The 23,608-nt window shown below is 43.0% G+C and overlaps 2 long non-coding RNA genes across 2 annotated transcripts in view; one reads left to right on the forward strand and one right to left on the reverse strand.

The window, feature by feature from the left end:
• LINC01019 (long intergenic non-protein coding RNA 1019) overlaps nt 1-23,608 on the reverse strand; it is a 118,943-nt gene that overhangs the window by 26,693 nt on the left and 68,642 nt on the right. The gene's annotated exons all lie outside the window — the stretch shown is intronic.
• LINC02162 (long intergenic non-protein coding RNA 2162) lies at nt 8,972-17,816 on the forward strand. Its single transcript, NR_147000.1, has 3 exons — nt 8,972-9,118; nt 9,861-9,943; nt 17,473-17,816. It is a non-coding gene; the product is annotated as a long intergenic non-protein coding RNA 2162 (long non-coding RNA).

A 23,608-nucleotide genomic window follows, 5' to 3' on the forward strand; every position in this document is an offset into this window, starting at 1 on the left:
CATATGTAGAAAGCTGAAACTGGATCCCTTCCTTACACCTTATATAAAAATCAATTCAAGATGGATTAAAGACTTAAACGTTAGACCTAAAACCATAAAAACCCTAGAAGAAAACCTAGGCATTACCATTCAGGACACAGGCATGGGCAAGGACTTCATGTCTAAAACACCAAAAGCAATGGCAACAAAAGCCGAAATTGACAAATGGGATCTAATTAAACTAAAGAGCTTCTGCACAGCAAAAGAAACTACCATCAGAGTGAACAGGCAACCCACAAAATGGGAGAAAATCTTTGCAACCTACTCATCTGACAAAGGGCTAATATCCAGAATCTACAATGAACTCAAACAAATTTACAAGAAAAAAACAAACAACCCCATCCAAAAGTGGGTGAAGGACATGAACAGACACTTCTCAAAAGAAGACATTTATGCAGCCAAAAAACACATGAAAAAATGCTCACCATCACTGGCCATCAGAGAAATGCAAATCAAAACCACAATGAGATATCATCTCACACCAGTTAGAACTGCAATCATTAAAAAGTCAGGAAACAACAGGTGCTGGAGAGGATGTGGAGAAATAGGAACACTTTTACACTGTTGGTGGGACTGTAAACTAGTTCAACCATTGTGGAAGTCAGTGTGGCGATTCCTCAGGGATCTAGAACTAGAAATACCATTTGACCCAGCCATCCCATTACTGGGTATATACCCAAAGGACTATAAATCATGCTGCTATGAAGACACATGCACACATATGTTTATTGTGGCACTATTCACAATAGCAAATACTTGGAACCAACCCAAATGTCCAACAATGATAGACTGGATTAAGAAAATGTGGCACATATACACCATGGAATATTATGCAGCCATAAAAAATGATGAGTTCATGTCCTTTGTAGGGACATGGATGAAATTGGAAATCATCATTCTCAGTAAATTATCGCAAGAACAAAAAAACAAACACCACATATTCTCACTCACAGGTGGGAACTGAACAATGAGAACACATGGACACAGGAAGGGGAACATCACACTCTGGGGACTGTTGTGGGGTGGCGGGGGGGAAGGATAGCATTGGGAGATATACCTAATGCTAGAAGACGAGTTAGTGGGTGCAGCGCACCAGCATGGCACATGTATACATATGTAACTAACCTGCACATTGTGCACATGTACCCTAAAACTTAAAGTATAATAATAAATAAATAAATAAGAATGTTCAATTTAAGTGAATGCAGAACATTTATTAAATGTATCATATGATCAACCATGTAATTAACATAGAAATATAAATAAAATATATAAAGATTGGAAGGAAAGAAATGCAATATGGCAAGAAAAGTAAAGAAAAGATACACTTAGAGAGGAACAAATGAAACTGTTGTAATTTGCAAATGACATATTTTTGTATGTAGAAAATCTAAAACGATTTGCAAACAATTAAAATATACGTAAATTTATCAGGTCACTGAATATAAGGTCAAGGTACAAAAATCAAATATATGCTATAGATTAGCAAAGTGATGAAAAGTGAACTATAAAAGACAAATTGTGTATATTATTATCAAAACCAACAGAATGTTTAGAATGAAACCTAACAGGAGATGTGCAAGACCTCTACACTGAAAACTAAAAAATATACAGGAGGAAAAATGGAAGATGATCTATATAAGGAAGAATATACAAAGACCATATGTTGAAAGGGTTAATATTTTTAAAGGAACAATTTCTACAAATTGAGATATAGATTTGAGGCAATCCTGAGCAAAATGGCATCAGAAATGATGATGATGATGATGGTGATGATGGTAGTGATGGTGATGATGGTGATAATTAAGGTGGTGATGGCAATGATGATGGTGGTGATGATGGTGGTGATGGTGATGATGGTGGTGATGGTATGATGGTGATGATGGTGGTGATGGTGATGATGGTGGTGATGGTATGATGGTGATGATGGTGGTGATGGTGGTGATGGTGATGATGGTGATGATGGTGGTGATGGTGATGATGGTGGTGATGGTGATGATGGTGGTGATGATGCTGGTGATGGTGGTGATGGTGGTGATGGTGGTGATGGCAATGATGGTGATGATGGCGATGATGGTGGTGATGGTGGTGATGATGGTGATGGTGATGATGGTGGTGATGGTGATGATGATGGTGATGATGGTGGTGACGGTGATGGTGACGGTGATGATGGTGGTGACGGTGATGATGGTAGTTATGGTGATGATGGTGGCGATGGTGATGATGGTGGCGATGGTGGCGATGGTGATGGTGGTGATGGTGGTGGTGGTGATGGTGGTGGTGGTGATGATGGTGGTGGTGGTGGTGATGGTGGTGATGGTGGTGATGGTGCTGATGGTGGTGATGGTGGTGATGGTGATGATGGTGATGATGGTGGTGGTGATGACAGTGGTGATGGTGATGATTATGGTGATGATGGTGGTGATAGTGATGATGGTGATGATTATGGTGGTGATGGTGATGATGACGGTGATGATGGTGGTAATGGTGGTGATGGTGATGATGGTGATCATGGTGATGGTGATGATAGTGATGGTGGTGATGGTGATGACGGTGGTGATGGTGATGACGGTGGTGATGGTGATGATAGTGATGATGGTGATGATGATTATGGTGATGGTGGTGATGATGGTGATGATGGTGGTAGTGATGATGGTGATGATTATGGTGGTGATGGTGATGATGATGGTGATGATGGTGATGATGGTGGTGATGGTGGTGATGGTGATGATGGTGAAGATGATTATGGTGATGACGGTGGTGATGGTGATGGTGGTGTTGATGGTGATAGTGATGATGGTGATGATGATTATGGTGGTGATGGTGATGATGATGGTGATGATGGTGGTGATGGTGGTGGTGACAGTGATGATGGTGGTAGTGATGATGGTGATGATGGTGATGGTGGTGGTGATGGTGGTGAAGGTTATGATGGTGATGGTGATGGTGATGATGGTAATGATGCTGATGGTGGTGATGATAGTGATGATAGTAATGATGGTGATGATGGTGGTGATGATGGCCATGACAATGTTAGAATTGGCCTGCATAATGCGTGATTTATGTGGAAATGCTAAAAATCAAGAATAGCCAGGGCAACCTTGGAGAAGAACAAGGACTTATGAACTGAGTGTCACGATTTATTTAAACCTCTAGTTGTTGTGACCACTTGATATTGGTGAAGAAGACAGAGAAGACCAACAGAGACAAAGCAGAGGACCGGAAATGGACCACACTCATCACCTTATTACATTGCAGGCAGCTAGGCAACCCAGGGGTGGGAAGGACGGTCATTTTAATAAATAGTGCTAGATCAATTTGAAATCCATCTAAGACCAAATAAATAAATAAATAAATAAACCATTACCCCAAACCTCACAGCCTACCCAAAACCAATTCCAGTTGCATCACAGCCCTAAACCTGAGACTTTAAACTGTAAAACCTTTAGGAATCAACACATGGGAGTATTTTAAGAAATCTTTGCCTACTGTACAAAAGCACTAACTATGAAAGTAAATATGCATGAATTTGACTTCAATAACATTGAGAATTTCTGTTCAGGCAAAGACACAGTTAATAGAGTGAATATGCAAGCCATGCACAGGGAAAGAGCATTTGCAATATCTCTCTCTGATCACTAGTATCCAGAATACATCACGTCCTCTTCCGTATATTTATTTATGCTTCGAACTCTTGTGGCCTCTAGCTCCCTCCTTTTCCTCCTCTGATTGGAGAGCTGGGCAGATAACTGATATGCTGGAGGCTCTGCTTGCTCCTTGCTCCACAGTGGGGATCAGCGGCCCACCGAGCACACATGCTCTTCACCTGGTCTCAGGTGCAATGTCCCCTCCCCAGCAAGGCCTTCCTGTTTCAGTCCCTTACTGTGCTGTACCTTCTGTCTCCAACATGTAATCACCTACAATTACTGAGATTGGGACTGGACTCTGGGATTTAAGCTCTATGAGGCTGAGGGAGGTTGAGGTACCCAACTGGTTTACTGCTGAAGCCCCAGTGCCCATGCCAGGGCTTGGCAGTAGAATCTATTGGATAAACAGGAATTGCATTTTAAATTAATTTTAATACTAAGGCATATTTTGGTGACCCAAGAGCTGGGGAAACTCTTGTCTCCTCATTGGACACCCTGGGCCTGAGCCCCGCAGGTTTATGGTCATGGCAGCTTTCAAGTCCTTGATTCAACCAAGGATGCCACGCCTGACTGCCAAAGGGGGCCAAACAGTGTCTCACCGCTGACACCTGCCCATCAGCACAGCTGCCTTCCTCCAGGGCCCCTGCCTCAAGAAGGGAGGCTACTGTGGGATTTGGTGTCCAATTACTCTTCATTGTGAGGGTCCCTGTGCCATATAGGGGCTTCAGCAGCATCCCTGGCCTCCACCCACAAGACCAGTAGCCCCTGTTCTCCTGGTTGTGACACGCAAAGCTGTTTCCAGACATTGCTGAAGGTTCCTTGAGGGAAAAAAAAAATCACCCTTGGCTGCTAACTTCTACCCTCCGGGGACGAGATTTTGGGAAGTTGCCATCCAAAAATGGACTGTCTCTTGTAGTCACCCATACCAGTGCCATGCTGACAGAATAGGTTCTCCTCAGCTGGTTCTACCATTTTCACCCAATCATAGGTTCTCCAGTTGCTCTGTGGGGCTTGCAGTGGGAGCAGCGGGCAAGGGCTCCAATCATCTCCAAACCACACCTTCGGTTCTGGGCCTTGTGAGTGCACCTTCACATTCTAGCATCCCAACCACCCCCACAAGGTGCATTTTTTTTTTAGGAAGATTATGATTCTAAAACCCATATGCCTATAATGATCACTTATTTTGGGCTACTGTATGCCAAGCACTTTACACACCACAGGACTGAATGGAATTTTACCCCTTGTAGACATAAGGAAGCAGAGGCTTCCATAAGCAAAATGCCTGGTGGAAGTCCCGCTGCAAGGGTCAAACCCACAGGACTGTACTGGAAACAGAGTTTTGTCTGCAACTCCGCCCTCTCTGCTTTTCTGAGAACTCACAGCACTCCTGCCACCCAAGCACCATCTCTCCACAACATCCCTATTCCAGGGCTGGCAGTAACAAAACATTGAACGGTCCTACACAGTGGCTACTCACCAACCAAAGGGACCCAAAGGGACATGTCTCAGTGTCTGAGCAGGGGCCTGGAGTTCCCTGCAGTCCCAATTGTCATCCTTTTAGTTGCTAGATGGGAGGAGGTCTCGGGGATCTCAGAAACCCTGTTGACTAAGTTGCAGCATCTGGGCGCTCACGACAACTTCTATTTACCAGTTGGTACACAGATGTTTCTGTATTTTAACCCCCTGTACAGCCAGCTAATCTCCACGGTGATCCCCGCCCCCTCAGGCATCCCACCCAGAAGACCAGCCATTGTCCAGCATGCCCCTGCCACTGCTGATGGCTTCAGGTGGATACCTGGCCCAGGCTGGGCTAATGCCCTCCCTCAACGATTTTATCTCCAGGCCTGGCTGGGTACGTGACCAAAGCAGGACACTCAGATCCCTTCCCTTGGAGTCTGTAAAGTAGAAATGAGAGTGGTTCTGCTACAGGCTTCACAGATGGGAGACAGTCAGTATGAAGAACAAGGCGGTGACCAGGAGCAAAGCACACCTCCCAAAAGCAAAACTGCTATTTAAACAGCCAGAAATAATTGCTTGACTAATTACACTACACTAATTTTGGACTTAAAGATAGTACGATCAAGGTGGGTTTTTTTTCTATTTAATACTTCTTGTCACCATTTTAAATTTTTTATTATATATTTATTTATTTATTTATTTATTTATTTTATTTATTTATTTTTGAGAGATGGAGTCTTGCTCTACCACCCAGGCTGGAGTTCAGTGATGTGTTCATAGCTCACTGCAGCCTCAAACTCCTGGGCCTAAGCAATCCTCCCGCTTCAGCTTCCTGAGTAGCTGACGCTAAGGGTGCTTTTTACCATGCTGGGCCACTGGGCTACTTTTCTTTGTAGAAATGGACATCTCCCGATGCTTCCCAGGCTAGCCTCAAACTTCTGGCCTCAAGAGATCCTCTGGCCTTGGCCTCCCAAAGCATTGTAATTACAGGTGTGAGCCACTGGGCTCAGCCATAACCTATGATTAAATCAGATAGATGGATAGATAGATAATGATGAAATGTGTGTGTGTGTGTGTGTATATATATATATATATATATATGTTTGTGGGTTTTTTGGTGTATGTATGTATGTGTTGTGTGTGTGTTTGTGTATGTGTTTGTGTGTATGTGTGTGAGTGTGTGTGTATTTCAAATCATTTCCAAGATCCTTAAAGGGAAAGACACTTGAAGATCATCTATTCTCGTTTCCTCCTTGTACAGATGATGAAACCAAGGATAATTAAGCTATTTACGTTTCTATCTTTCCATGAAAAGGCAGCTCTTAAGGACAGACATTCCAGTTCGCATGTGTTATGACAGCTCTGCACACGTGCATTGCAGAGAGCATGGGGGCGCCCCAGGTGATCCCGTCCAAGGTGGGCCCGTCTAGCTGCAGCCACGTAAACTGCAGCCTGAAAGGAAGAGCCACTCACGCCCACCTGTGAGGGACACTTTGCCATTCTGTTTTTTTCTATTGTGGATTTTTCAGTTTCATGGTAGAAGGCAACATACTCTGTCCTCTCAGAATATCTGTCTGTATCACAGCATCACAGAAAGTCCCTAGACAGGTCGGGTGTGGTGGCTCACATCTGTAATCCCAGCACTTTGGGAGGCCAAAGCAGGCAGATCACCTGGGGTCAGGAGTTCCAGACCAGCCTGGCCAATATGATAAAACCCTATCTCTACTAAAAATACAAAAATTAGCCAAGCATGGTGGCACACACCTGTAATCCCAGCTACTCGAGAGGCTGAGGCATGAGAATTGCTTGAAACTGGGGGGCAGAGGTTGCAGTGAGCCAAGATAGCCCCACTGTACTCCAGCCTGGGTGATGGGTGACAGGGTGAGACTCCACCTCAAAAAAAAAAAAAAAAAAAAAGAGAAAAAAAGAAAGTCGCCAGACAGAAACATTATTATGTCCAGCTGCCTTTGTGAGCCACAAAAAGGATGGCGATTGCTTTGTGTACAAAGCCATTAGGGGCGGTGGCATTACCTAATGCAGGTAGGACTAAAATGTCACTGGATTCACTTCTGGAAAGTATCTGGAAAATAACGCGCTGGAGCAGAAATCATGGCCCACCCTCATGACCAAACTTTATCCTTCAGGGCCAGGCACTCCACAACACATGAGATGGATTCTGTACCACCACCTGTGCCCAGCTCTGGCCATCAGAACATAGGCTCTGCTCTGGAATAGCCATTCATACCGAGTCTTTCTCCACCAAAGACTAAATAAGTTCTAAGATTATTCCAGAGATCTTTTCTCCCTGAGTCTTTTAAATCACTCCTGTGATTATGTTCTGATGTTACCGTAGCTATTACTTAGCTGAGAGATAAAAAGTTATTAAAGGGACATAGTAATTGGCATTGATTATTTAAAGGGTATGAATGGAAAGGAGAAATGAACTTATTCTACCACAGATAGGGCCAGCGGATGTCTTATCCTCTTGTACCTGTGCCAGCGAAGGGTGAAAATTGTAGAAAGACATATTTAGCTCAATAAAAGAAAGACATGTCTGATAGCTTGATAATTCAGCTAAAACAGAATAAACTACTTGCATGGAGGCAGGAACATCATTCCTGGAAGTTTCCAACAGAAGCTGGGTGACCATTTGTCAGAAGCATGACGTCGGGGGCTCGTGAGGGGATGGAGTATTAGACCGGGTAATCCTTGTGGTGGACATGGGGGTTCTCCACCTGGATCCCCACCTCAGGGCTGAGGCAGCATCTCCCAGATGTTGACAATATTGTCTGCTAAAAGCTCATAGAATTGACTTGCCTAAGTTCACAACCCTTCTCAGGGGACAGCAACTGGCTTGATGACAACCTCCAGTCAAGCCGGAGGATCATCCAAGCTCCAGAATCGCTGAGGCCTCAGCTGCAGCTGCATTGAACTCCAGCTTCTTCTGCTCAACCCTGCCTCCCCACAAAGACACCTCCCCAGCTCTTGTCTGCAAACCACTGCATGCCCCACTCCAAGGAGCTCAGGCTAAGGCAGTCCCTCAGGCTCCTTTGAGTGTTTATAATTCTACCATTTCTTCTCTTTCCAGACAGAGAACACTTACAGATATGCCACAGCTTAATTCGCATGCCTTCGCTATCTCGAGTATAGCCAGCCAGAGTGTGGTGAGAACCACTGCCAGCCTCCTCTCCCTTCGGCACTCGCGGTGTGTACATCTGTGTTCTCAGCACTCTACCGGTGAGGCAGGGAGACTCCTGGAAATTATGTTCACAGGAGAGACTTCCAGGAGCCAATGTGGATCACAATGCTGAGGACATCCAGACACACTGTGCAGGGGACGAAGAATGCAGAGATCCCAACGCCGTCCCTCAATAGCTATGCATTAGCCCTCAAGGTCAGGCTCCCAGAAACCCAGGTCCCCACCTGCACATCCCTACCCCGGCTCACCCTCTACACATCACCTGTGCCCAGGAAGTGGTGAGCTGGTGAAGGAATAAATGAGTACAGGAATGAAGGAGCTTTTGCGTCCCATGGCCATTCCCTCCAAATACATTCAGCAAACTTTGCTCGGCACCCTGTGGGTCTCACGCTCTTTAGCCATATCCAGGCTGCCCACAATATTGGCTGAAAATGAATCATCTTGGGCCTAAGCAGGCTGTGTGAGGCTAGCGTTAATCATCTTCCCTCAGCTTGGTTTCCCGGAGCTGGGGCAGACCCTCACCCGGGCACTGTCTCAGGCAAATGGCTTCCAATTGTTTCTTACTTGCCATATAATGTCCTATTGTGGCATCACAGGCATGTCATAAAAATGCAGGACGCCAAACTGGAAGGAACTTTAGAAGTTTTCCAGCGTGTTCCCCTCAGACCCACAGCCTCCCGAGCCTCAGCCATCACCATGTAAATGCTAATGAATGACAAGCGCCACAGAGGACTTTCATCTTACCATTTGAAGAGGAAGTTGGCTCTGGACATGGGTCAGTTGGGCCATTTAGTTAAAATTTGGTGCTAATGAGAGCAAGATAGAGACTCAGGCCCCTTATGGCCAATTAACTCTGTGCAAAGAGAAAAACTCAGTTCTGTGGTCAAAAGCTACCCTCTTCAACACAGTTAGCTATTCCAGAAATATGTGATGTTGACCCCAAAGGGGAATGGAGTGTAAGGGGAGAGGCAGTTCAGCGATGATGTCCTCACAGCCTGGAGAGGCAGCTGACAGCACGTGAGTGATTGTCTGCAGGTTAGGAGATGTCTCACTGTTTAGGAATGACAGAAATAAATCTTTTGAGCTGCAGACAAACATTTTGTTTAGTTAGGTCCAGGTATCTCATTGAGGAGCGGCTTTGGAGATCATGTTTCTAAACCTTTGTCTTTGTGGAGTCATTGATTTCACTTCTTTGTTAGTTACCCACAAGGTAAACACACTTTTGAATGCAATTTTACTTTTGTTTTTCACTGATCATTTAACAGAATTATAAACCCTTAGGTTTAGAAATATCCATACAGCTCACTCTTTTTAGGTAACCAATCCGCGCTTACTGTGCCTGGTGACAAGCCATTGCCCAAGCTGTCTCTCACCACCTCTGGAAAAAGCAAAGTAGGGGGTCTCCTAAAGAGAGCGCTCCATCTGGGGGCACTCTGATAACCAGAAAGCTCTGGTTTATGCTCAGGCATAAACTAGACACATCACGAGGCGGATTTCTGTTTGTTCCCTTTTCCTAGAACAAGGATGGTTTCTGCCTTGCTTTGACACAACTAATGGAGGCCACTGAAATAATCTTTCCCACTAGGAAGGCTGTCACAAGGTGAGTGCTTGATGGTACCTGCACCCAGACAGAAAGAGGCGCCATGCCATTAGACACCTCCTAAATGCACATAATGGCCTGAGTCTCCTTCCCTCCCAGACTCTCCTTTTTTTTTTTTTTTTTTTTTTTTGAAGGCAGTGAACAATTATTTTCATCTTTCACTCTCAATTCCTGGCAAAACATTTAGCATTCAAGAAATATTTTTGGATGAGTTAACCAGTAGGTGATCATCTCACTTTCTCTGCCTAAGCATATAAAATCACACCAGATAAAAAAGCCACGCTGACAGGCCCCTGTCTGCTGTCCTCACCCAGTGAGGCCTCTGCAACGCCGCCCCTAACACTCACACTAGCACAGTGGACATCACCCACTAACACACGCTCCCGCTAGCACGGCAGGCGTCACCCACTAACACACGCTCCCGCTAGCACGGCGGGCGTCACCCACTAACACACGCTCCCGCTAGCACGGCGGGCGTCACCCACTAACACACGCTCCCGCTAGCACGGTGGGCGTCACCCACTAACACACGCTCCCGCTAGCACGGTGGGCGTCACCCACTAACACACACGGCAGCCCTGGACTCTTCTTTCCTGGATGTCCGAGGGAATTCCCCAGAGGGATCAATAGTTCCTCAGAGAAAGAGGCAACATTCATCTTCCTTGTATGTAAGCACAATATCCCCCCTGTAAGAACCACAGTGCGTTCATCCTGTCTGTAATACCTTAGGACGTGATGGTATCCAAGTCCCTCTGGAATGAGCTTCAGTTCTAAGGTTTTGAAGGGAAATAAGAAGCAAAGGATCTTGGGCCAAGTATTTATCTTTTATGAAATGAGGTGAAATGAGCCAAACCATTGTGGAATTAACTAGGAATGAAATTTAGTTTTATAATACAATTACTCAAGTTGCAGATAATAATAATTGTGAAGAATTAATCTAAGGATTTGCCCTTTCCTTGGAGTTGTAGCTGAATGTGGGTGAAAGAAGCTCTTCAGCTCCTGGAAGGATGTCATCTCATTCTGCTCCATTCACTCTTTCTCAAAGTGGATTAGCAATACAAGTACACAGTGGATTGATCTCTTGTCACAAGCCAAAAGATTTAGACTTTGTGTGCAGTAAATATTTATTGAATGAACACATAATTTTAAAAGCTACATGAAATATCACCTCAAAAACCTCTTGTTTCATATCTGTGATTCAAAATACAGCATTTGACATTTTTCTAAAGATATTTAAATCATAGCTATTTCTAAAGAATAAAATCTGCCAGCTTTTTTGCTATTTCTGAAAATAGACATTAGTCTACTTCTCAGCACTCAGGTATAGGGTACATTCAATGATCGCAGCTGAGTCACAAATGTGGATGCTTAAAATGATTTTCTCTGAGCTCTCACCAAATATTCAACACGTAAAAGCTTGCATTATCATTATCTTTTTGAGTCCGGGTCCCAGGAGCCCCTCACTAAACAAGAGCTTGTTGATTAACCTTGAATCCAGTACATGCTGCCCACTGACATAACCCCACCTCACTCTCTCCCTCAGTCCCCTTCTCCAGAGATCATCTTGAATGGGAAGAGAAGAGAGGTGACCTTTGCTATGGATGCATGCACCACAAGTGTGAGGCCCCACGGTTGCCACCAGGAATAGCTATCTACCCAGGACCTGATGAAGCGCTGTCCAGACAGCTCTGTAATCCTATACCAGCACACCAATATGTGTGCTAAACTGATCAATAATAAGATTGATACATCTTCTACTTGGGTAAGTTAATCTTCTTATTGATCAGCGTAGCAAACATATTGCTTTTCTTCGGCAGTCTTCCTCTCTAGCTCTTCTCCCCCACCTCAACGCCCTGGTTGTCTGGTGCTATCAAGAAGAGAAATAGAACAACATTTTCTACATTAAATGCTTCCATTACATCAGGATCATCTTAACCAGCTGCAAATATCTCTTAGAGGAGAGGATTTATAACTGGCAGGTGCCCAGCTCATTTTTCTGTGTGTGTTAGAATCTTGATAATGACCTGGGCTTCTCCCCGCTCACATTTAGCATGTAGATTTTAAATTAATAATGGTTATCCATTGAAGGCAACGCTTGCCTTTCCCATTACAGCACCTACAGCAAAGATCTGAAAAATTAAGACTGCAAACAAAGCCAGCACAAGGCACACACTCAGTCTATTCCTGTTGTATTCTTTTTCCTATTCAAGACAGAGTAAAAGTGGGAGACATGGGAAGCAATTTCAGAGGATAGAAAGGAGCTAGCCCCAGGCAGGGAGAATGACGGAGAGAAGAACTTAACAGGAATGCTTATTCCAGAAAGATAATCCAATTCAGGGGCCCGATTTCTCCTCCAACGTCCACACTCACAGAAGGAGACTCTGGGTCAGACGCTTCACCTCCAGTTCTGTGGCAACTCCCTCTGTGACTTGGCAATTACTGTCGCCCATACCCAGAGGCTACAGAAAAGCTGAGTTTCCTAACACCCAGAGCATTGTTGTCAGATGCGGAAGGGCAATCCAGTGCTGGAGTGCTGTCCAGACATGCAGGGCCCCTGCCAGCCCCTGGCAGGATGGGAGGAGACTTGAGAGGGGATGTGTAATGGCGCCTTCTAGAAGAGAGGCCTTAGCAGCTCTGAAAGCCACACGGTTTAACGTGGAGCCAGGATGTGGTGTCTCCACCAGAGCATCCTGCGGGAGGGCATGCGGGCTTAGAGCACAGCAGGAACAGTGCTGGGGCACCTTGGAGCAGCCCCCAGCCACAGCCAGCCAGCCGGGAGGAGGGAGGGTTGCCAGCTGGGCGAGTCTGTGGGTGAGTGAGAGCACAGGCTGCTGTGGAGGGAGAAACATAATTTCTGACCCGTGGACCACGTACTGGGGCAGACTATTGTGCACCATGTGTAAGGAAGACTATTCTTTAAAGGGAATTGGGCCTCCTGAACAGGTGGGTTCTGGAAGGCAGCAGCTGGCTCAGGTGTGTGGAGACTCCCAGTGTCAGGAGGTGTGCTGGGGACAGCCGAAGATTGAGATCTTCAGGAACTGCTTCCGAGCACCAACACGCAGGTTCTCTTTCCTGACTGCCAGCAACTTTGCCATGTCCAGGAAACATCAGTCCTGGAGCACTGGTCGGGGCCCTGCCTGTGCCCGTTTCAGACTTTGTCCGTCTGGAGGCCTGCGACACAAGGAAGGCTGTCAAGCTCCCCTTCGTCCTCCCCAGCAAGCCCTCCGAGGGGCCTTCCACATGCCACAAAGGAGCCAGCTCAAATGAGAATGCGATGGGTTTAAACCCTTTGGAAAAATGCTTAATTGGCAAATGAGAGTCAAGTGCAGCCTTCCCTCTGCCACCTGGACGTCTCCCTGGGCTGGGTTATGCCCGTCATTGAGCTGGTTTTGCTCTGCCAGGGTCCCACGAGAACGCATGCAGCATTTTGATGGTGGGATGCTGTGTCTTTTGGATCACTCCCCTGACCTCCACACTACATAGGATGGGGTCATACGTGTTTGCTGAATGATGTTTGAATAAAGACAAGTCAGAGGCTCGGCCCAGGAAAGCCCATCCTTTTCTAGAATCTCCTGGTGGACAACTTTGAGTTCAGCTTGCTTGATTTGCTTTTCTAACACTGAACTTTGATAGCTCTGTGCCTACTTTAGGGGAGGCTATTATGGCTCAGGGCTGACTTTCATACTTGATACAAGCACATGTTGCTGAATTTAATCATCACTAAAGTGTCCATGTGGGAGGAGGGGGGTCACCTTCCCCCACGCTGCAGGGACAAAGAAACTGAAGTGCACAGTCTTGCTGGAGACTCCAAGATATTTGGTGGGCAAACTGGAGGTGAGCTTGGTTCCCTGCGCTTTGCCAGGTGTGAGAGACTGAAGAATACTCAGAGTTTTCCTTGAGATTAGAACTCTGGGCAGCCCCTCTGGGGTCAGCATCTTAGAACATCGTGAACATAATCAGCAAGTCCATATAGGGAAAGGCTCTGGAAGGGCACAGCTGTGCCTTCTCCATGGCTCCATCTCGGGTGGGTGAGAGTCTATTCTGCGGCTTATAGGCAAGAAAGGAATCTTGGTGACAAACCCTCCCTATGCCAAGGGCCATGTAATTAATGTTCTAAAGCAAAGGAAGTGAAATCAAGGGCCTTTGATGAAGCGGAGAAATGCTCACTAGGCTCCGGGTTGCTCTACTTTCTAAGTGATAAATACAGTCTCCTTCAAGTGGGAAAAATGCTTCACAATATCCATTAGGATGGAGGCCAACAGCCATGGTTTAAGGACGAGCTTCTGAGAGCTGCCACTCACGGATGGAAAGGTTTGGCCAATTCATGGCATGCGTCCAGGACCAGCAGTGCCAGCTTTAAAAACTCAAAACTTCCACTTTATGTCAAAATTCCCTTGCACCTTACTCAGCCTGTATGTACAACAATCTTTTCCTTACCCCAGAATCTGAACAAGAACAGCTCTGAGAACAAGTTTTCTGCCACCTGTATAGGATTAGAAGAAAGGTAGACATCAACAAGCAGGAAGACTGAAGGCACCACAGGTGCCTGTGTGGGTCCAGCAATGCCCTGTGACCCTGGGCATCACCAGCTGTGTGCAGGGAACCACAAGTGCCCTTCCGGGGAGCTGGGCACAGTCCTTTCTGCCTGGCACTAACAACCCGGCCAGGCTTCTGTTTTCAGGGGAACGAGGCTGAGCCAAGTGGAGAGAATGAGTTATTTAAAACCGGTTCTGCCCATAGATACCTGATTTCTTACAACTATTTTTGATTGACAGGCAAGTCCCTGTGTCCTTTTTATTTCTGTGAGTTAACTGAGGTTTTTACACTTTTTGCTAAAAAGGAAAAAAATTCCTTTTCTTGGCACTCAGGGAAATCTTTCTGCAAAACATTTGCAACCAAGAGCTGGGGCACTGGGCCTTTTTCCTTGTCTTCTGTGGAATACCAATACTTTATTCTGAATCTGAGATATTCCTGATGGACCAAAAGTGAAAAAAAAAATTTAAATGAAGGAAAAAAAGCCCTCCCTCTTCTGTCAAGAGCAAAAGAATTCTCAATCTTTCTAGGACGAATGTTGGATGTGATCCTCTTATTTCACCTTTGGATAAATTCTCACTTCAAGCAAAACTCTTTTCCTTTGAAACTGCTGTTATGCAGACACATACCAAAATCACTCAAAAAGAATGTTTTGCCTCAGAATAATGTGATGTATTTAATGTATTCTGACAGTCATCAACATGCTGGACTCTAAATGCCTTTCATTTCTACGTGTTCTTCTTTCTCTATGTTGGCATTGGACATCTGTCCTTAATTAGTACCTGCTCTTGGATGGTTTTCTCAGCCAGGAATGATTTTGCCACACACAGTCACCCACAGGGACATCTCGCAAAGTCTGGAGACATTTTGGGTGGTCACCCTTGGGAGAGGGAGATGCTACTGGCATCCAGTGGTTGAGTGTAGGGATCCCATCATGCACAGGCCTGCTCCCAATCATCCAACGCTAACGTCCATATGCCAGGACAAGAAGTCTTCATCAGATAATGAGGACATTTCGCCAGATAGACAACCAGATGTTCAATCTGACACAATTTATAGTTTCTAAGCTAATACACATGACTTTGGAATAAGTGGTCAATGCCATGTCTGCATACTATATACGGTATTTTTAAAAATTTATTCACACATATGGTAGCTACCCCATGCCCACACTTTATGAGGAGCATCCCTGAGAGATCTCCTAAGGTGGAGAAGACACAGACACTCCACAACCACAAAGCTAAGAGAACGTCATTACGGACAGTCCAAAAAGAGGGAGACGTACGCAGTAGCCTGAAAAACAGATACAGGATGTTTTGCATTAAAAATAGGAAGGAGACAGGGTGACTCAATTTGGAAACAAAAGGCTGAAAACTCAACACGTGTCTTTAGATAGACAGGAGAGAAGACTATTCCTGAAACTGTTCAACGGAACAGAGTTCATGAGAAATAGGGTTGGAGATGCAGTTACTGAAAGAAAAAAAAAGAAAGAGGAATTTCACTGTGAATGATCCAAATGTAAAGACACTGGTTAGAAAAAAAAAAAACAAAACAGGCCAGACGTGGTAGCTCACACCTGTAATCCCAGCAATTTGGGAAGCAGAGGTGGGTGGATCACCTGAGGTCAGGAGTTCAAGACCAGCCTGGACAACGTGGTGAAACCCCGTCTGTACTAAAAATACATTTAAAAAAAATTAGCCAGGCATGATGATGTGTGCCTGCAATACCAGCTACTAGGGAGGCTGAGGCAGGACAATCGCTTGAGCCTGAGAGGCAGAGATTGCAGTGAGCTGAGGTTGCACCATTGCACCCCAGCCTGGGCGACAAGAGTGAGACTCCATCTCAAACAAACAAAAAATAAAAACAAAAACAACAACAACAACAACAACAAAATACTACTAAATAAAGAGAAAATGGGCTTCAGATGAATTTGGATTATTGTTGGGATTAATAAATTAGAAAAGCAAGCTATAAATTAATTATATTTTGTCTTCCAGTCTAGAGAAAATGCTAGAAAAATAGATTTCAGTTTGTTTGCATTGAATGTGCTAGGGTCACATTTTTGGGTAAAGTATGCCTAAAAAGAGAAAGGTAAATCAAAGTCTTACATTTTCAGAGCAACAAAGGAATCTGTCACCTTTATAATATTTAATATAGAAACTTAGCAATATATTGTCTACTGTTTAGAACTATAAGTATATTAGCAGAAGGCTGCTGAGTTCATATACAACATTAGCAAGCAAATTCCATTTCTTACAAATAAACACATCATATGAAATAATCGATATACAGTATTGCCCAATCACTGTGACCATCACAAGCCTTCAAGTGGAAAGTTATAGTACTCAGAGATGAAGTAAGACAGTTTGGGTAACAGTTGAGTACCTTTGGAAGCTTCGTGTTTCTTAAATTTTATTTAAAAAGACAAACCCTAAATAGCTATATATACCCAGCTCTTTAACACTGCATTTGCCCACTCTGTTCTTGGAGTCATAAAATGTCAATTAAAAAAAAAAACTTTTATTTTGTAATTTTCCTCAGAAGGATAACTCAGGATTCTCCAGCAAAAGCTTGAAATGCTGTGGGTTGATTCAACCTCTGACCTATGGTAATTGAGTCTGTCTGCCTATGTTTTCAGCTCCGAAAAGGAAAAACATGACAACTGGCTGTGTTTTCAGAATGAAAAGGGCAAATCCAACTTTCAGTATAGGAAGTCTGAGTTGTGTGGGGCAGAGGTACTGTGGGAAGGGTGCCCAGGTGCCCACATATAGTGGAATTAATGGTGAGAACTTTGATGGGTGGAGATGGTAGAACAGGCCTTCCAGGGGACAGTGGAAAAATGAATGCAAAATCATGAAGGAAAGGAGCATGGCCTTGAGTCACAAGCATGGGGTCCTTGCACAGAAATAATCAGGAGCTAAGTTCGTAAGCATTTGGGGGTCTTAAAGTGAAACGCCTTGCACTAAGCTGTCTGTCTTTTATCCTGTATGCACTAGGAAAGAAAGAATGAAGGTCCGCAACCAACACCAAGCTCTGAGAAGTTGACTTGGATGATGTTCTACCCAGCTCTCATCTAAAGGAGTAGAGTCCCCAAGCCAGAGGAAGCTGTCAGAGAGCTTCTCAGCTGTGAAGATTCTATGAGGTCCCAAAGGTTAATGATGCCAGTTACAGAAGCTTGACAGAGCAAAAGGGGAAGGATGTGTCACTTGGCTGTGTGGCTGGCTGATCTTAGGGAATGAGAAAGCAAATGTGATGGAGGTGACCAAGGGGTGACAATGCTTCACCACCATCATGAAGAGCATACAGGGGACTGGGGGTCAGAGGGAAGTGAGGATAGGGAAGTAGGGAGTGTGCTTGGTTTGGAAAATGTAGATTATTGATGCACCCTTGAGCTGTTTAGACAGAGGTGGCCAAAGACAGCTGGAGGATGGTGACTTCATATTAGGATTCAGGGCTGCCACACCACTCAGCTTCAGGAGTTACCTGTCCTCTTGTTTTCCATGTGCCTAGTGCTTCTCAGAGTTGTGTAGTGTGGTGGCCTTGGGAAAGGGTCACTACTAATAGTTTCAAGAAGCCTGAAAATCAATGCAACACATCTACCTGCATTCAGAAAAAATATCTCCTACTTTTGCTTGACTGATGTAGGTCAATATAACACCCCTGCGGAACTCACATCTCCACACAGGTATGTGGACTATGGTCACGCTCTTTCATGGTACATTAGCTGTACATACACAGCCACACTGTCAGTTTCAGGACGGAGGTGGAATACTCCATCCTGTTTGGACATCCCTTGCCCTCACAGCTCTGAAAGACTGCTGTTGCAACATCTGCCCAGGTGTGTGTCAGCCTACCTATGGGAACCTGAACCCCAAAGTCCTCTTGAGTGTGGTTAGTTCCTATCAGCTCCATTCCTATCACTCCACATCCCTTTCATGTTTCTTTCCTGGATATATTTTCCTTTATATTATTCAAGAAACATTAAATAAAAGTTATGGACACAAAATTCTGCAGGCTGTGGTAGGGTAGAAACCAATATGAATGTAAGTTAGCCACTGTGACTTCCAGAAGATGGTGAGCCAGAGGGTTGGTGCCTTGGTAACCTTCTAGCATGGCCCAGTCTGGGGTGCCTGCCTCAACTGCCCTGAACCTTCCCCTCAATACAACATGTGGAGATAATGTCCCCAATGTCAACACTGTCAATGTCCCCAGCCTTGACACTAGGGACACTGTCTCAACACATCGTATTTCCCCAGGAAGCAATGCTCAGTACACGCATGAAGGTGAGCTTCCTTCATTTTAACGAGATTCCGCTTCCTGCACTCATCCTCAGGTACCTCCAAATATCCAGGCATTCACACAAAGAGCTCCACGGGCTCATGATCTATTATTTCTGTCACATCGATAGGAATCTAAGTATTTTCCTTCATGAAATCATATAATATTAGACTCATGGGAACTTTTATTCAAACATAATTATGCATGGATCCTTACATCCACATATACAATATATGAAACAAAAGTGTAGCTGCTCTTGTTGGCATGAGTGGAGAGGGATCCCAAATTCTCAGAACCTCCCCTAAGGCTCCAAGGAAATTCGGGCTCTGCAAACCTTAGATTAACAAACCCTGAGATAGGTGAACCTGATTTTACCAGTGAGAAAAATGAGGCCTGCTATATGGTAACGGCGTTCTCTCTTCCAAATCTGAGCTGTCTCTGCCCATGTCACAGTAAATATATGCCTCTTTTAAATGCATATGGAGAAATTTTTCAATTAGTTTCATTCTCAGGCAACTGACAGGGTAGTAAAAGATGTGACTCACAGAATTTTATATCTATTATATGACTTGGCTGCAACACAGCAAATGTATTATGATATTGATTGGCAGCAACTAATAAACAGCATTACAGAAATAATGCAACCACAATAAATGAGACTGGAGTCAAACCAAAAGACTTTGAAAATGAATACTTTGGTAATTATGACCCTCTCTATAAATATAATGGGCAAGGTAGAGAAGCAATTTTTAATGTGTGATATTGTTATGAGTAATACACAGAACCGCAAGCAATAAATCCAAGGGAATTATGTAAACTATGATATCTTGCTCATAATATGGTGTTAGTTTTACATTAAAATGTTATAAAAATGAATTGTATAACTTTCCCCCCCAAAAAAAGAAATAATTAGGAAAAGCATGACAAGGATCTTAGTGAATTATATACTGCATATACAATGGGATATTGGAAAGTACTCTTTGTGCAAATAAAATGTCACATTATTCTCTCTACCATTCCAGTTAAGTAAAATCAGAATTATGACTTGTCTGTCAGAGGGGCCAAACTCAAACACCTTTTGCTGAAGTTGAAAGTTGATCAGTTTCTCTGGTCTGATATTTCAGTATGCGGCTGGTGACTTCAAGGTGATCAGTTTCTGTCTGATGAATGAATGAATACTTGTCACCAGTCCTATGAGATGGGCTTGGCCACATGCTGACATACTCATTCTAGGGACATAGCATGTAAGATCAGGGTCAGCAAATAACAACCACTCCCTACCTGAACACCCACTGAGGGCAAACAGATGAAGAGCTACTGCTGCATGAGATGAGATTATGGCTTGGGTCATATCTTCCAAGGTCTACGTAATGAAATTTAGTAGACCCTATTAGGGAAAAGTAATGCTTACCAGTATGCCAAGGCTTCTCTGAACTATAAATCCATTTATTAATCTCTGGCTAAGTCTGTATAGTCTTACTCAAGGCCATAGTTTCAAACATGATATGTGCAGACAGCTGTCAGTCTGGAGATCTAGCCATTCCTATGTCCAGCCCTGTATTTTTCTGTCCTCCAAGCATCACTAACTGGATAGCCCATAGCATCTTCAACACAACGCCCTTCCCCTCACTGCACAGAAAGCAGCCGCACGGCTGAGCCTCCTATTCTAGTGAATGCTCCGTCATCTTCCCCTCATGCAAGTCTTTTTTTTTTTTTTTTTTTTTTTTTTGCCTCTTCTCACCATTGACATTCTCAGCACTCAAACCAAATAACTTGTCAAGCCTTTCAAAATGGGCCACAAGTGAAATTTTAGGTACTTTTCCCCTGGAAGTCAGAAAGCCTCCCCAGTCATCACACTACCTGCAGTATCTTCCACCACAATCCATCCTAATGAGATCCCAGTGGAGCCACAACTTACATGCAATTAACATGTGTGAACTCTACTAAATTCCCTCAGTGCTGAGAGCGAGTTAGTCTGCTTATTACAGATATGAACTTTCTATATAATGTGGCTCCTGTCCATAAGCCAATGACTTTATCTTGTTCTCAAATATGGAAATCTATTACAGGGCTGGAAGAAAACTGGTGATGTTGGAATTTTTAAGAGACAGTATTCCTGTATATCATATTTAATGGAGTAATGAAGAGATTATTAAAAGGTACTTTCAGCAGCTCACAATTTTACCTGCCACACTGAGTTTAAAATCTAATCTGTATAAATTGAGACTCCACCACGAATTTAGTAATACACAAACCTACACATGGTTTCTGCCTCAGAGCATTTAAATCTGCCAGTAAAGAACTACTCATGCTTCTCTTTGGCCACCAAGGCCTTTCCCAAAGGAATAACAATTTGCTTCTCAAAAAGTCTTAATTTATCTCCATTTCTCTGCCCAAATCATCTTTCTTACCATTTGACCCCATGGATTTGCTCATTCTGTTTCTTCCATCTAGAATGCACTTTGCCCACCTGATCGGTTTCTGATTCACATATTTTACTTACCTATCTCAAATGTATCCCAAGTTCACTCACTCATAAAGCTTTCCCCCCTTCCTTTACTTGAATACTTATAGAATTCTATATCTCTTCCAAGTATTATGCTCTTATGAGCATTTCTGGTCAATTTCCACACTGACCTGAAACCATCCCACAAAGTGAATGACAAGGTGCAGAGATGCTGGGTTGAGAGTTGGAGGGGAGATTCTTAATGTTTCAATACACTCTAATGTTTTAACAGGTAGAACTTTTGACTCCTTCAAGTTTATATGTGGCTACCTCATGAGCTCTATTCTTTTGTAAGAATTAATAAACAATCTACCTTGTTGAGTATGGCACATTTCATAAAGATACATCTATGGATTTAATACATTTGTTTTCCCTACAGACTTGGGTCTGTAAGCAATCTTCCATTTTTCCAGGTTGACTCTAATACGTCATGAAAGCTAACATTTCACTATAAGGACTCAAAATAACAAGATACGTGGGAAAATCATTCTGTACAGATACTTGATAACCGTGAATGCACTAAGGATAAGATAACTTCATTCCAGAGAGCAAAGAGTCCTTGCTAGGTGACTCGACGTGCACTGTCTCTTTTCTTCTCTGGGGTCAATGCAGCCTGAGACAGTGCAGAGGAACCGGGGTAAAGAGAAACCTGCATACATTTGGTATTAATTGAAAAAGAGTCGGTGAAACCATGTTTAGAGTTTACTCAGGGCAGAGAACTGCTTGCGTTTTCACCAGCATAGGTTATAATGGAAAGGGTACATGAATAGACTCCTCCTAAGTTATCATCTTAGTACTAAAACTAACTTAGTATTAGAACAAAAGTTTCTCTAGGCAAACCTTGACAGCACTTTTAAAAAGCCTCAAAAAGAGCCAACGGACTCAAATAACTGAACTATGCATCAGAAGCAAATGTAATAGTATCTAAAGGAATACAACAAAATATATCAACCAAAAACAAACACAAAACCCAGTATCTGGCACTCAATAAGAAAGAATGAGAAAAACATGACTACTAACCAGGGTAAGAGTTAATTAATAAAAACTACTCAGAAATGACAGATATGATGGAACTAGAAGAAAAAGGACATAAAACAGATGCAAAAAATACTTCATATGATCACAAAAATTAAGGAGAACAGAGACATGAAAGAGAGTGATAAAAGTTCTCTAAAAGGCACATGAAACTTCCATAGACACTAGGAAGTCTGAATTTAAAATACACTAGATTGGAATATCAGCAAAATGTACATCGCAGAAGAAATGATCACAAACTTGAAGACATAGCAACAGAAAATATTAAATGTGAAGCAAAGAAATAAAAAAATAAATAAAATGCAAATAGTATTGATAATCTGTGGGACAATATCAAACAGTCTAACACATCTACAACTGGAATCTCAGAAAAAAGGAAGAAATGAAGAAAAAATATAAAAATAGAATGGCCAAAATTTTATAAATTTGATGCAAACTATAAATAGCTGATTCAACAAATTTTACAAATCCTAAGAAGATTAAAATTATAAAAAAGCGAGATATCATAATCAAAATTCTGCTACCAGCAATAGGAAGAAAACTTAAAAACAGAGGAGAGAAGACACATTATGTAATGAGGGACAAAAAAGAAAAAACATAGATTTTCTTCAGAAACAGAACATGTCAGAGACAGTAGAGACATCCTTTAGTACGGAAAGAAAGAAGAAAAAAGGAAGCAAAGGAAGAGAAAGACAGAAAGAAAAAAGAGGAGGAAAGAAGGAAGGAAGAAAGAGGAAAGGAAAGAAAAAAGAAGAGAAAATAAAAGAGAAAAAAATTCAATTTTTAAAATCTAGCACAAATATCTCTTATAAATAAAAAAGATACAAAGATTTATTACAGTAGCAGAAGCTGGAGAATTTATGAACAGGAGACATCCACAAGAAAAAATATGCTAAAATTATTTAAGCAGAAGAAAAATGGTTCCAGATAGAAATTTGGATCTATATAAAGTAATGAAGAGCACCAGAAGTGATCAATGTATAGACAGATATATAAAGTGCTCCTTTGTATATTTTAATAAATTTGAAAGACAATTCATGGTTTCGTACAAAACAAATCCACAATGTCTTATGAATTTTATAACATTTGTAGAATTAAAACGTGTGACAAAAACAGCACAAGGGATGGAAGCTGTAAGTATACTATTGTAAGGTGATGTATTCCTTATAAAGTTATGTAATAGTAGTAGAAACAAAATGGAATCAAAAAATAATAATCAATGCAAAAGAAGACAAATAAATAGGAAATGGAGGAACAAATAACAGGTAGGACCAAAAAGATAATTTAGGTTGTTTTTTTTTTTTATCTCTTTT

This window comes from Homo sapiens, chromosome 5 (assembly GCF_000001405.40).
Source record: "Homo sapiens chromosome 5, GRCh38.p14 Primary Assembly".
Lineage (NCBI taxonomy): Eukaryota > Metazoa > Chordata > Mammalia > Primates > Hominidae > Homo > Homo sapiens.